This window comes from Homo sapiens, chromosome X, assembly GCF_000001405.40.
Source record: "Homo sapiens chromosome X, GRCh38.p14 Primary Assembly".
NCBI lineage: Eukaryota > Metazoa > Chordata > Mammalia > Primates > Hominidae > Homo > Homo sapiens.
In genome coordinates, this window is record NC_000023.11 from 117,958,633 (window position 1) to 117,974,752 (window position 16,120).

General features: G+C 35.7%; 1 protein-coding gene across 9 annotated transcripts in view, besides 1 other annotated feature; it reads right to left on the reverse strand.

The window, feature by feature from the left end:
* KLHL13 (kelch like family member 13) overlaps nt 1-16,120 on the reverse strand; it is a 219,528-nt gene that overhangs the window by 60,820 nt on the left and 142,588 nt on the right. For 2 of the 9 annotated variants that reach the window (NM_001394864.1, NM_001168300.2), the window contains exon 1: nt 14,678-15,092. The exons of 5 other annotated variants lie outside the window; for them this stretch is intronic. In NM_001394864.1, the coding sequence (NP_001381793.1) occupies nt 14,678-14,757 (80 nt within the window). In that variant the 5' untranslated portion in view covers nt 14,758-15,092. Of the gene's footprint in view, nt 1-14,098; nt 15,093-16,120 lie in introns of those variants that run through there. 2 more of the 9 variants (NM_001394863.1, NM_033495.4) reach the window with 2 other exon arrangements.
* Nucleotides 14,054-14,348: a silencer, noted in NCBI's record as "tiled region #7314; K562 Repressive non-DNase unmatched - State 24:Quies". NCBI's record gives its function as "represses a minimal TATA promoter and a strong SV40 promoter by Sharpr-MPRA in K562 cells {active_cell/tissue: K562}" and the evidence as "EXISTENCE:reporter gene assay evidence [ECO:0000049][PMID:27701403]".

Here is a 16,120-nt window from a genome sequence, read left to right on the forward strand (position 1 = left end):
AAAACAAAGAGCAGTCAGGATACTTGCTTGCAAAGAGATGATAATAAAACAAAGAGCAGTCAGGATACTTGCTTGCTAAGAGATGATAATAAAAAACAATTACTTTCCAAATAATTAAATGATATAAAATTATAATAAATGCTTACCACTCTTTACTAACAAATATCATGTTGTATAATTCATAGAAACCACAATAACAAAACGATTGCCAACTTTTTTCTCTAATCCATAAGGGTATCAGTTCATATTTAGCATATAAGCACCAAATAAAAATAAATAAATAATATCAACTTTCCTTACTATTATTTTAAAGGGTTATTTGTTCCAGATCAGGCTATCTGCAGGGCTGGATCAGCAATCACACAATATTCACTATTCAAAAACATAATCTGCAATTTTAATTATATGGAAGAAAGTCAAAACTCTTGATGATGTGATAGTACTGCACATCATTTAAAAAAAACACTCTAATTGTATCTATCTATATGCTTCAGCAACATTTCTATGAAAAGTATATTAATGAACCAAGTCTCCAGTCTACTTAAAACCAAACCTTTGTTTCCAGTTTCACGAACTTTGTTTAGCTGTGAATCATTCAGAAATGACTGCATGCACGCACCCTCTGTAGGAAAGTGATCGTAACGAATGAGAAAATCACTTCAATTTGGTGATGCTAAGGGGTTATCTATTGGACAATGATTCACAATTTAGTGTCATCCATATACTTTTCAAAATTGTATTTCAAATATTTTGTAGGTCCACCCAAACTAAAGCTAGATCAGACTATTAATTAAGAACATGTTTCACTGTCAGACAAGAGAAGAGCTCTGATATAATCACATTTAATAAAGAGAAACCTAGTTAAGATTTTGTAGAGCTGGTCTTTAATATTAATTTTAATGCAGTTGAAGAAATGGTATTTTTAAAAGGAAATATAAATTAAGACTGGGTTAAATCATCAAATACAAATGTACACAGATGGAGGAAAAGTGATCAAGCATTAATATCACATTCTCTTTCAAGGTAAATGGTATGACCAAAAGAGTGATTTCTAAGGTTCCTATCAGCTTGTGGATTGAAAGAACCCTGATTAAGATAATTATGCACATTATATGATGTCAAGGTCTTATCTCATTGATCAGTGAAAAGCTCTATATTTTTGAAACCAGAAAAAAAAGTGAAAATAAAAGATGTTACAGGGCAACTTGTAAATGATTAAGCAAGTTCATTTAGAACTTTTAGAAACAGCTGCGGTGAGAGACTTAAATGTGGGAAGCAAGAAGGGAGTGCAGTTAGGTACAGAGGGATCGCATAAGCACAAATTAAGCCCAATTGCCCACATACACTCAACTGAGCTTGCCACTCCAATTCATCATTCTCATAATATTTGGTTCTCTAAATTTTAGTGCTCTAAAACACAATATTTTCAATCTAAACCTTTTAAATTTAAAATACCATCAGAAGGCCAAGTGTGGTGGCTCATGTCTGTAATCCCAGCACTTTGCGGGGCACAGGTTGGGGGCAGGGGGATAGCTTGAGGCTAGGAGTTCACGACCAGTCTTGGAAACATAGCAATATCCTGTCTCTACAAAAAAAAAGTAAAAATAATAAATTAAAATACCATCAAGCCCCTGCACCTGCCATAATAGGAGCCAGACAATGTCTAGAAAGTTTGGTAACCAGATCTGAGATCAGAACTTTCCTGGATGCACCTCCAAGTTTAGAAATGCCACTTCTGAGGCCATAACTTGCTGAAGAATCAAACATAATGGTCAATGACTGAGTAGCATAGACAGTCCTCACCTGTTATTTAACTGTTCTTATTTCACTCAGTAGATGTTACCTGACACTCAAAATTTCAATATTTGCCCCCTGCACCTGCCAAACACCAAACACTAAAGTGCATTAGCAACAACCACATAATCATATGCCACTGCTAGCTAATTCAGTACTATGTTTTGAAGATTTTTAAGGTTCTCAACAACCTGTATTATTTGAATTTCCAGAGACATGCAAAGACCTTCTGGTTGTTAACTATTATTTTCTGGTAGCCTTTATGTTCAATCTGATTTTGAACAGTCTTTTGAATAAACTGAAAATGTTTTGGGAAGGTAGAAATGTAGAGTCCTTTGAAATTTTTTTCAATGCAATAAAATGCAATCAGCATCAGCCAACTTGTACTATGCACACACTTTAGTACTTTTTAAATGGCTCTGATAACAGTGGAGTTATTCTGAATGATTCCGCTTGTTGCATCAAATTTTATTAAGAAAACTAATTTCATGATTTTATTCAAAAGGTAGCACTATTACTATTAACTTTTAATAAGAGACTTGGGCTATGTGAACCATCTCAAAATAGACTGAATTTTCAAAAAAAATAGTTTTTAAATAACTAGCATCTTCAATTTCACTCATATCTGTATTTTATATGATTGTATATGCTTGCAAAATCGATGTAATCAAAACAATTGTGCCTATTTTATAAAATGTAGAGCACAATAAAAGCTCTAATAGGAGAAACTTGTTTTCATGATATTTTCAACACAACCCCAGATTATAGTTCTGTTACTGGATAATTCCACTTTTTAATAAGATTTCCAGGAAATCATTGTTGCAAGGGCTGAGAACTGCCTATGTAATGTTTAAACTATTATAATTTTCAAGAACAAAACTACTGATCCAGAGATTAATAAATATGGTTTAGTTACAGGAATGCAAAATTTGTAGAACCACTTGGGTTAATTGGAACACTTTCTACAACGCATGTGTAAGCCCAACATGATTGTGTTCAACTAGAGTATTGTAGATACAACAAATGACCTCCTAAAGATGTCCACATCTTAACCCCAGGAATCTGTGGATATGTTGTTACATGGCAAAGGAGACTTTGAAAATGTGATAAAGGTTACGAACTTTGAAATGGGGCGTGTCTTGTTTTATCCAGGTAGCCTAATCTAATTACATGAGTCCTGAAAAAATGGAAGAGGAAGGCAGAAGAGTGAGCCAGAAGGCAATGTGAAAAGGATTCAACCTGCTGTCGCTGGCCTTAACGAGGGAGGAATGGGGCTGGAATGCAAGCAATCTCTAGAAGCTGAAATTGTCCTTTAACTTATAGCCAACAAGATGATAGGAACCTTGGTCCTACAGCCACAAAGAACGGAATTTTGTCAATGACAGGAATGAGCAGGAAACAGATTCTCCCCTAGAGCCTCAGCCTTGCTGACATTTTTATTTTAGCCCCGTGAGACCAGTACCAAATTTCTGATCTGAAAAAACTGTAAGATAATATGCCAAGCATGGTGGCTCATGCCTGTAATCCCAGTACTTTGGGAGGCTGAGACGGGAGGATAGCTTGAGCCCAGGAGTTTGAGACCAGCCTGGTAACACAGCGAGACCTCATCTCTACAAATAATAATAATAATAATAATAAGCTGGGTGTGGTGATGCGTGCCTGTAGTCCCAGTTACTGAGGAGGCTGAGGCAGGAGGATCACTTGAGTCCGGTGGTCGAGGCTGCAGGGAGCCATGATCATGCCACTGTACTCCAGCCTGGGCGACACAGTGAGATCCCCATCTCAAAAAAAAAAAACTGTAGGATAATAAATGTGTGACATTTTAGGCCATTCGTTTGCAGTAATTTGATATGGCAGCAATAGAAAAGAAATACATAGAGGTTTGGGTTTTTTTTTTTCATTGAGTATTTGCATGCAATTAAGCAGTGGGAGGATAATGTCTGCAGGAAAGTACTAAATATACTGACTGGGGTAGAACCCTTGGAACGTGCTAAAAAGAGTACACCAGCTACAGCACTGTCCGTGGCAGCTAATTACCATGGGTGGGAAATGTGTGTAATCAATGAAGATGGAATAGTGCTTCAAGGAACTATGGAAACATCAAGAGACAATGGAGTTAATCCCGATATCATATGAGCAAGTAAAGATAATTGCCTCAATATTTTCCTTCAACTTCACCACTTGACAGTAAGCAAGTAAAGCTTTCTAACCTCTTCCTATACCACCACCCAATTCAAAAAGCTTTTCCCATCTACCATATTTCCCTTTTCTTCTAACCCTAGTAAGGTATTATATAATTAATAGATGGCATGAAAGTAGCAAAAGTCTATAAAAATGAAAAGGCATTGGAGAAATTACAAGCTTTGAAATCACGTGGCCCTAAATCTGAATTTTGGCTCAACTTGTAATTTGATGTGTAACATTAAGCAATTAACCTCTCTGAACTTGTGTCCTTATTCGTAAAATAGTGAGAGGATGTACACTTACAGGGCTTTTTGGGAGGAATGAAATTAAGTGCTTAGCACTTCTATAATAGAGGAAAATAAATTGTATTACATTTAACTATGCTAAACTAGGACATTTTAAAAATTTGGAATATGTCTCATGAAGTTTAGAATATCTGTTATACATGCTAGATTAAAATTTAATCTAAAGTTCTGAAACTTGTTTTTATTTTTTTGTTATTGAAGATAAGTTACTTCATTACTCCATTGAACTATATTATAAGAAATCCTCTCCAACAAACTGGGCATGTTCTTGCCTTAGCATGACATAAATGTGGGGGGGAAATGGGTAAAAACAACAGATAACCTCATCATAGTAAGTTATGCTGGGAAAAATATTTTAGTATAATTGAAAACACAATATAATTTTATTTTAAACTAAGATTCAATCTTAGAGTTTGAGATCAAATTATTACTGCTTGGAAGGTAATATATGTAAACTTGTGTGCTATAAAGCACACAAACAGTAAATTATTCCCTGTCCAATGTAAAGAATAGTATTCCATTCTTGTTGTTTAAAAAGACACTATGAACTTTAAACATAAATTGCTTCATTTTCCAAGTCTTTGCTATTGTGAATAGTGCCGCAATAAACATACGTGTGCATGTGTCTTTATAGCAGCATGATTTATAGTCCTTTGGGTATATACCCAGTAATGGGATGGCTGGGTCAAATGGTATTTCTAGTTCTAGATCCCTGAGGAATCGCCACACTGACTTCCACAATGGTTGAACTAGTTTACAGTCCCACCAACAGTGTAAAAGTGTTCCTATTTCTCCACATCCTCTCCAGCACCTGTTGTTTCCTGACTTTTTAATGATTGCCATTCTAACTGGTGTGAGATGATATCTCATAGTGGTTTTGATTTGCATTTCTCTGATGGCCAGTGATGATGAGCATTACATATACACCATGGAATACTATGCAGCCATAAAAAATGATGAGTTCATGTCCTTTGTAGGGACATGGATGAAATTGGAAACCATCATTCTCAGTAAACTATCGCAAGAACAAAAAACCAAACACCGCATATTCTCACTCATAGGTGGGAATTGAACAATGAGATCACATGGACACAGGAAGGGGAATATCACACTCTGGGGACTGTGGTGGGGTCGGGGGAGGGGGGAGGGATAGCATTGGGAGATATACCTAATGCTAGATGACACGTTAGTGGGTGCAGCGCACCAGCATGGCACATGTATACATATGTAACTAACCTGCACAATGTGCACATGTACCCTAAAACTTAGAGTATAATAAAAAAAAAAAAATTGCTTCATTTTCCATCCTGTGCAATATGCACTTTAACATGTGTTATCTACCTCCAGTTCAAGTCTCCTCATTTAGTCCAGACAAATTTTTCTTCTGAGGTGTTTCCATTGCCCTTAAATCCATTATCAATATTGAAAGTACAGTAAGCAAGAATTTATTTAACCTGTTTGTCTTGGTTCCAAATTTTCACAGCAGGAGAATAAATTAAGCTATTTAATTGCTTATGAATGAAGATAGTATGGAAGATAAAAAATAATCACTTTGAATGATCACAAGGACTATGCCCCTAATCCTCAGCAGAGTTATGCCTGGCACATAATAGACAGTTGAGTAACTGCTGAATGTTATAAACTTAATATACAAGGTGATTGAAAAAGAACTGAGCACTTTCTTTTTTTTATTAAAGTTTTAGGGTACATGTGCACAACGTGCAGCTTTGTTACATATGTATACATGTGCCATGTTGGTGTGCTGCACCCATTAACTCGTCATTTAACATTAGGCATATCTCCTAATGCTATCCATCCCCCCTTCCCCCACCCCATAACAGTCCCCAGAGTGTGATGTTCGCCTTCCTGTGTCCAAGTGTTCTCATTGTTCAATTCCCACCTGTGAGTGAGAACATGCAGTGTTTGGTTTTTGGTCCTTGTGATAGTTTGCTGAGAATGATGGTTTCCAGCTTCATCCATGTCCCTACAAAGGACATGAACTCATCATTTTTTATGGCTGCATAGTATTCCATGGTGTATATGTGCCACATTTTCTTAATCCGGTCTATCATTGATGGACATTTGGGTTGGTTTCAAGTCTTTGCTATTGTGAATAATGCCGCAATAAACATACATGTGCATGTGTCTTTATAGCAGCATAAATTATAATCCTTTGGGTATATACCCAGTAATGGGATGGGTGGGTCAAATGGTATTTCTAGTTCTAGATCCCTGAGGAATGGCCACACTGACTTCCACAATGGTTGAACTAGTTTACAGTCCCACCAACAGTGTAAAAGTGTTCCTATTTCTCCACATGCTCTCCAGCACCTGTTGTTTCCTGACTTTTTAATGATCGCCATTCTAAGTGGTGTGAGACAGTATCTCATTGTGGTTTTGATTTGCATTTCTCTGATGGCCAGTGATGATGAGCATTTTTTCATGTGTCTTTTGGCTGCATAAATGTCTTCTTTTGAGAAGTGTCTGTTAATATCCTTCGCCCACTTGTTGATGGGGTTGTTTTTTTGTTGTAAATTTGTTTGAAATTCTACCAGAGGTACAAGGAGGAGCTGGTACCATTCTTTCTGAAACTATTCCAATCAATAAACAAAGAGGGAATCCTCCCTAACTCATTTGATGAGGCCAGCATCATCCTGATACCAAAGTCCGGCAGAGACACAACAGAAAAAGAGAATTTTAGACCAATATCCCTGATGAACGTCAATGCAAAAATCCTCAATAAAATACTGGCAAACGGAATCCAGCAGCACATCAAAAAGCTTATCCACCATGATCAAGTGGGCTTCATCCCTGGGATGCAAGGCTGGTTCAACATATGCAAATCAATAAACATAATCCAGCATATAAACAGAACTAACAACAAAAACCACATGATTATCTCAATAGATGCAGAAAAGGCCTTTGACAAAATTCAACAACCCTTCATGCTAAAAACTCTCAATAAATTAGGTATTGATGGGATGTATCTCAAAATAATAAGAGCTATCTATGACAAACCCACAGCCAATATCATACTGAATGAACAAAAACTGGAAGCATTCCCTTTGAAAACTGGCACAAGACAGGGATGCCCTCTCTCACCACTCCTATTCAACATAGTGTTGGAAGTTCTGGCCAGGGCAATCAGGTAGGAGAAGGAAATAAAGGGTATTCAATTAGGAAAAGAGGAAGTCAAATTGTCCCTGTTTGCAGACAACATGATTGTATATCTAGAAAACCCCATTGTCTCAGCCCAAAATCTCCTTCAGCAAAGTCTCCTCCTAACTTCAGCAAAGTCTCAGGATACAAAATCAATGTGCAAAAATCACAAGCATTCTTATACACCAATAACAGAAAACAGACAGCCAAATCATGAGGGAACTCCCATTCACAATTGCTTCAAAGAGAATAAAATACCTAGGAATCCAACTTACAAGGGATGTGAAGGACCTCTTCAAGGAGAACTACAAACCACTGCTCAAGGAAATAAAAGAGGATACAAACAAATGGAAGAACATTCCATGCGCATGGGTAGGAAGAATCAATATCATGAAAATGGCCATACTGCCCAACATAATTTATAGATTCAATGCCATCCCCATCAAGCTACCGATGACCTTCTTCACAGAATGGGAAAAAACTACTTTAAAGTTCATATGGAACCAAAAAGGAGCCCACATTGCCAAGTCAATCCTAAGCCAAAAGAACAAAGCTGGAGGCATCACGCTACCTGACTTCAAACTATACTACAAGGCTACAGTAACCAAAACAGCATGGTACTGGTACCAAAACAGAGATATAGACCAATGGAACAGAACAGAGCCCTCAGAAATAATGCCACATATCTACAGCTATCTGATCTTTGACAAACCGGAGAAAAACAAGCAATGGGGAAAGGATTCCCTATTTAATAAATGGTGCTGGGAAAACTGGCTAGCCATATGGAGAAAGCTGAAACTGGATCCCTTCCTTACACCTTATACAAAAATTAATTCAAGATGGATTGAAGACTTAAATGTTAGACCTAAAACCATAAAATCCCTTGAAGAAAACCTAGGCAATACCATTCAGGACATAGGCATGGGCAAAGACTTCATGTCTGAAACACCAAAAGCAATGGCAACAAAAGACAAAATTGACAAATGGGATCTAATTAAACTCAAGAGCTTCTGCACAGCAAAAGAAACTACCATCAGAGTGAACAGGCTACCTACAGAATGGGAGAAAATTTTTGCAATCTACTCATCTGACAAAGGGCTAATATCCAGAACTGAGCATTTTCTAAAATGAATTACTCAGTAACTTATTTATGTACTGATTCCCCAAGAATCTCATGTTTATACCGCCTTTCTCAAAGTCTTGAGGATATAAAGCAATACATCATGGCAGCCATGTCAATCTAAAATTTTATCATGTATGTTGTTTGTAATTCTTAACTCTTCAACTGCAAGTTATTAGCACAAATACTTGCCTATCCCATACTTCTTTCTCATCGCTCCGTCTCCCCAAGTTTGGCCATACTTAAGTCTCAACTAAATATTCTAAGTTTCAAGCAGAATGTATGAAATTCTCAGTAACTCCGTACTTCCCATGATGGTATGGAGATATGAAATTCTGCCTCTCTTCCCTCTGTAGAAAGTGGTTTCTTTGCAATGGGGGAAGCGATTACTTGGAAGATACACTAAGTATAAAAAAAGGAATCTAGATAAATTATTGACCAGTGAATGTCTTTGAAATATCTGAAAGTGACAGGAACACTAGCTCTTTGTCTTGCAAGTGTCTTGTGTGCAATATTTTTCTGTTATATTAAATGATTTCAAGAGGTCTTTTTAAAAAATACACAATAGGCTTTAAAACAAAATGTTAACTTCATTTGCACATGCCAGGCTTCCTCAGACTAAAAGATCTGAAGAAGCTAAAAGAATAAACACAGACAGTGAGGAGCAAGCAATCTGATTGTAAGGCCTTCAAAAAGGCAATTTGCAAACTGTAAATTCACTAGGGGACAGTGTGAATCCTATAATTAAAAAAAATAATATAATCTCAGGCCCTTTAAGACAAGCAGAGATTCTGCTTAAAGGAAGAGAATTGTCTTCTATTTGGGCCCCATGTGGAGCATCACATTCAAATGTAGTGTCTTACATAAAGATTAACATGAAAAAACCATCCACGTGAGGACAACCAGGAAGAGTGAAGGGTCTGAAAACCATGTCACATGAGAAGACGCCTAAGCGTGTATGTAATAGAATTTTTTTTTTTCTATATAGCTCTATAAGGCTGCATTGGGAACGGGAGAGAAAAGATACAAGGAACTGATTTTGCTCAATGCAAGGAAAAGCTGTCCATGAATGGAGGGTGCAGCCTTGGTGAGGTAGTGAGCCCTTTGTCAGTGACAGTGTTCAAGAAGGACATGCAATGCCATCTTCGAGAGGTGTCATGGAATGAGTTCCTGTGTTAAAAGGGGTTTGGACTTTCTAAATGACTTTTAAGGTCACTTCTATCTCTATGATTTTCCATTAATAAATGACAACCTAGTCCTTCTGCAAGCTCAGACAATGCAAATTCCCAAAGAACATGCCACAAAAGTTGCAGACTAACACAAAATTTATCTTAGGTGTTAGTTGTGTTATTTTTCCACATAATTTTGTTAAATTGTGCATAAGTAATAAAAACAAAATTAAGTAGACACAAAGCAAGTAAAAGTTTATGTTCTCAAAGCAACTAAACATTCTTTTCTATTTTGAGATTATCAATTTAATAAGTATTTTGCTAGAAAAGAAAGATTTCTCTAATCACAAATGATTATCAATTTAATAAGTATTTTGCTAGATAAGAAAGATTTCTGTAACCACAAAGTTTTCTTTTATTTACTAAATTAGAAAAAAAAGACAATCTTAGGGGATAGAAACATGTCAAATTTAGAAAATTCATATTTTTATTATGTCTGTGCTGTGAATCACCTACAAACAAGGAGCATTTATACAATATACACAATATTTTCTCAGGAAATGCCAGGTACTGAATTTTATTGAAGACATTACAGAGGCAATTGCTATAGAATGTTGTGTTTTTTGGCATTTACTATAAAAATATTTTTTACATATCAAAAAATCATAAATAGGAAGCTAACTGAATGTAAGTGCAGGGACTAAAGGAGAACAAGTCTAGTTCACTAACATTCATTGTCTTTTAGATTGAGAAAGGTAACATTCTAAGGAAAACAACTCACAGGGTCTGTCTTGCTAGAATTCACTGTTATATTTCACTGGTTAATTCTTACCTAATTGCCTTCCTCCTTGCCACACTATTATTGTCAAAACTCGCTGCTGGAAAAGAAAAGATGAAAGGATCACTAGTGCTAATTTTGTTCTATTTCAGTGTGTCCTTAGCATCTAACAAGGCATTAACCCTATAATATTTGCCTGAAGGAACCATTTGCTGTTTTAAAACAATGAATACCTAAACACCATAAAAACACTTAGATGTGATTGCTCTTTCAGCTTTATTAATTTAGGCTAAATGACAGAGTAATTTATATGGTTTGCACCTGTCAGGGGCAGAGTCTTTACTAATGCAGTTTACACTGGCCAGGAGATCCTCCCTCAGGCTAAGGTTGAACTTCAACCTACTGTTGAACAGAGTGCAAAGCAAACACATGTCACCAAGCACTCTATTTCTATCAAGACAATCCCTTCAGAAATCCACATAGATGGCACACCACCCTGCAATGCTAAAATCTAAAGCTGAAAGAATATGTCTACCCAATAAAGACTATTTGATCATCAATCAATCTAGAGACTGAAGTATTATTTTCCTGAATCTTTCGTATTTAAGATATCCCACTTTTCTAGTATGACATTACAGCAAAATTTTTTAAGTGCTTTATACTATATAAGATGCTATTTCTACTAATATTGCCACAAATACTATAGTCTTCATCATAAAGAAAACTTAAAAATGTTGGGACATTTCAACTGTCATTCAAGTTCTAAACAAACAGAAAGAAAACAAACATGGACTTTAAACCCACAAGGAAAAAAGTAATAGTCTTGCTGCTCGATGTTTGCAGTAAGTAAAATGTTCTCTATTGTAGCCTTCACTAGCACAGCAGTACTGCCCTATCTGTAGCATCAATGGAAGAGCTACAGCAAAGCAGCACATACACTGGGTTTAGAAAGAGACCATGGAGCGTTTAGATTTTTCCCACACATGCTCAATCACTATAACACATTTTTACTACTACCTAAAATACTTCATATTGAAATTTCAGTCTTTGACAAAGTACTCAAGTCTTCAATGAAAACCACGTAATGTATATTTGACAAAGCACGGTAAGTAATGATAAAACATTACAAACCAATACTGATGCTACACAAGCATACGTACAAAAAGATCTTATATCACCTATGAAGAATTCTATATTCAAAATACTACTTTAAATACTTATACATTATTTTACAGGTAAATTTCCTATATATCACGATTTATTGAGGAGTCAGAATTGAACAATTCTATTTCAGTGCAAAGAGTTTAGACCCAAAAGACACAAGTAACCATTTAAACCTATGTTTGCCAGCCAAACAATTGTGAGAACAAATATAATGTTACTTGACCCAGTAATCTAATTCAGTCTTTATCATTTTTGAAGTGGAATTATGCTATACTTAAGTATCATTTTGTGTGTAAATGTGTTGAGGAATATAGAGAAGTACTGATGAGAAAAACATGTTAAACATGATGTTTTTATTTTTGGCCAAGTGAGGCAATGAACTGTGATCTAAAATGGTCAAAAACTAAACAACATATTTAAAAACCTGATTTAAACTCCCCAAGCTAGTCTTGCTACATTTCACATAAATTTCTATCTGTGCATATTTACTTACTATTAAGTATTAATATACATAAAAAGAAAAATAAGTTAAGACCAATTCAATAATATAGAGTGTTGTAATGTCAAAATAGTCTGTTACAATGTCAAAATACTTCAGCCTACCATAAGCTCTTTGAATATATTTTTCCATTCTACCTATGTGTACTACCAACAACCAACAGTCAACATGCAAGATCTATTATATTTTGTAGGTTCTATCTTCTAAATTGATTCACTCATATCATCAGGTCAAAGAGGTAAGCACTTAAAAGGAAGAAAGTGATTAATTTAAAATGTTGTGTTGAGTTGTATCTGAGCTTGTGGCTGGCATGAATTTAATAAAACATGGGGATTTATTTCACCATCTCTAAAAATCGACAAATCAGGGGCAATAAGGGCTGCAATTTGGATCTTTTAGACAATCAAATATAGTAGGAATATTAGAAACATTAATAACCATTATAATTGTAACCTGATTTTAGTGAGGTTTTGTTTTGTTTTGTTTTTATAATAAAGTTGCTTTTGGTAAATCTTTAGTCATTTCTTGCCAGTTAAGATGCATAAAGTCAGGAAGCATCCTATTTTCTCGAATTATGTGAAAGAGCTCCATTAACTTCTCACCTCCATTAACTTGTCACCTCCATTAATTTGTGCTTTTGACAAACAGTTTTTGAAAAACAAATATAGCTGGTTTATTTTTACAAACTAGCCTATTTTTTTTTTTACTTCATAAAGTTTAACACCCAAAGAGATAAAAATATCCTGGAGCATAAACGGAAAGGAGCATTAAAAAATCTGAAAATAAAATGACCACAGGATTTAACTCTGAAATGGCCTCATTTTTCAACACTTTCCAGGGAATTGCTTCTTTTGGACTGAGAGCATAACCACACTTCCTCAGCATCTGAAAGGGTTTCAAAGAAAGAGATAGATATAATTGTGCATCTCTACCTCACATAAAACAAAAACTAAGTTAAAAAATGGCAACTCACCACAGCTCTAAATACACAATTAAACTAAGGCAGGAGAAGTTTTCCACATTTTTCCTACTGATAAATATTTTAAAAATAACACTCAAATTTAAAACATTCTTTTCAAAAGCTTTTCTCGTACTAATATTTTCTTTAAAAAAAGATTCGGTTTTCCTCCACCAAAAAGGATCATGAACAATACTTTAAAAGAACATTTTATTATATCTCCTGGATTTTGCCTTTAAAGCAACACTGCAAATTTAAAAAGATTTTCAAAAATTTTGAAAACTTCTAGAAAGACTTCCCAGTGCACTTCAGTACGTATTTACTTAAAATACATTTTTAAAACAGACATTTGTAGAATACTTTTTCAATCCCCATAATATAACTGCTCATAGAGATATAATTTGCACAAATTCAAACTTACACTTCAGAACTTGAATGATAAAACTGAGAAAGATGTACTATCAAACATATTAATATTCATACACAACTAAAGTATAAAAGTCTCAATTAAAAGACTCATTTTCTGATCAATGTTAACTCTGTTTTTAATTCATGAAAAAATAGTAAAGAGGCATTACCATATTTAACACACCACCATCAATCATCAATTTTTAATGCCATTACACAAAAGAAGTCATCCTAAGTGTTTTAGATATTCAAAAATTCAAACAAATCCAACATATGTTAAATATTAAAGTTAATTCTTTTGCAATTCCTTAGGTATGCCTTTGTACTTTCACACTGGTAATTAGATTACCATTAAACACTTTAAATAAACATAAACTTTAGAAAAACAAAACAATGATGAAGTGTGGGCATGCCAACATCTTTAAATGTAAGCAAGCTTGAGGTTTTTAATCCTGTAGGTTTTTGGATGTTGCTGTTTGGGGGCTCCCCCGCCCCCATTTTGCCACAAGGTAGATTCATGAATGAAATCCCACTTTAATATCCTATTTTCTCTCACTTACATGTATGCTGGAGAAAGTGGAGTTGACCTGGATGTTTTAAGCACAGGAACTGGGAATTTCCAGATAGCAGGAGAGCTCGTTTTCCATTTCAATGGCATGTTGTCACCACGGTACTACAATAACAGTAAAGAGCGTTTCCATAACAGACTACCAACTAAGACTTCCATTCCACACTGTACTGACACAGCAGTGGCTGCCGCGGAGAACAAGCAAAGGATTCTGCCAGTGCCCTTAAACCGATGCTTCCAATCTGTAAAATAGGGCTGTAAGGTACCTCCTTAAATTCTTCTGTCCCCTAAAGCAATATGATGATTCAATCATTCCAACTCAACAATAGTGCCAGAAAAGCGTTGACTGCAGTATATTTTTTTAGGACTGCACTGTGCATACCATACAATGCAGCTTTATTTAATAAAAGCAGCCAGGCTTTTTTTTTTTAAGCTTGCAATACCATTGTTCTACCTTAACAGGGATACTGCAGCACTGTACTATATTCTGCACCTATTAACCTGATTTCTGACCAATAGTAGCAAGAAAAAACATAGATGGGTTTCATATGAAAATGAAACAACAACATACCTACTCAGAATACACTTGTCATCCTCTGAACAATCTTCTTTTGAGCTGCAACAATACAAATGGGATATAAACCTCAGCATAGCCTTAGGCTACCGCTAATAGAGATCAGTGACTAAATTCAGCAGCCTGCTTTCCTCCTGTGCAAGCTCTGGCCACACAAATCAAGAATGCCATTATGGGAAAAGCCCGTTTCAAAAATTCCAGTCCCTCTGCTTTCCAGCTAGGAGAAGGCAAAATGTAAGAAGAATATAAACTGCTTCAGAACTCTGCAGGTTCTTCTAGTAGCTTCTGATTCAAGTTGCTCTCCTTTCCCTATTCTTATTTCCAAGCTGAGATGAGCAAAATCTCACACATTTACAACATGCTGTAGTAACACAAATATCACTCTCTCTTCTGCAGCAGCGAAGTACAGAGTAGCATGCTCTTAATAGCAGTCCTCAGAGGGACGCTATCAACAATCTAATTCAATACTGCCCTCCCCTTCTCTCCCCTTTCCCCTCTTGTTCACCACCCCCCCCACTCCTCCCCTCCCTCCCCCGCAGACAGCTCACAAATTGCCTAGAGGAAAGACCAACACTGCTGGCCAAGCAGGTGTCCAGCAGGGACCACTCCAAAGCTCAACAGCGGGTCCGGTAACCTATAGGGATTAGCGATTGTCAAGGAGGTTCAAAAATTGAAGCTGCTGTCAAAGGCAGCTTGAGGTATTTCATGAAAGCAATGGCAAATAAAGGGCTCATCTATATTGTTTCAAAATACTGCCAGAAAATAGCGTTGTAAATGCCCTGAAAGTGACTTTTAAGCTTCTGTTTAAAGCACCAAAACAAACTCACAAATTTTCTACACAATTCTAAAAAGTGAATATAGGTTAAATGAGTATTATGCTGAACTGTTTATTTACAGGCTGAAGAATTTTACTTCTGATATAGGCAATTCACAATCATAGTACCCTTCTGCTTCTACCTAAAAACAGAATTATCCATTTCCATCAATGCAAGCTTAGTAAAGGCAGATCATGATTGACATGAAAGCAACTACCTATTTTTAAAAAATCACTGCAGGAACAAAGCTCATATTTACTTTCAAGTCTGTATCCAAACAATAAACTCATGCTTCCAACTTAAATAGTTAGCGTTCGAATATTCTTTCCAAATTATTCCTAGTTTTTAAAGATTGAGATTTAGTCCCCTAAGAGGCTTTTTCATCTGTATTTTAGAAACACACATGAATGTTTCTACAGTAAGGAACTATTTTCAAAAATTCCAAAATACCAAATTTAGTATATAAGAAATACAGCATGAAATCAACTAACATAATCACAAATGCCTTCCTTTTAAGATACAGACCAATATCAAGGCAAAAAGACAAACTACTATTTTCCTGTGAAGCACAAAACATATATGTACATGCAGTATGTACATATACACATACATACATATATGGAAA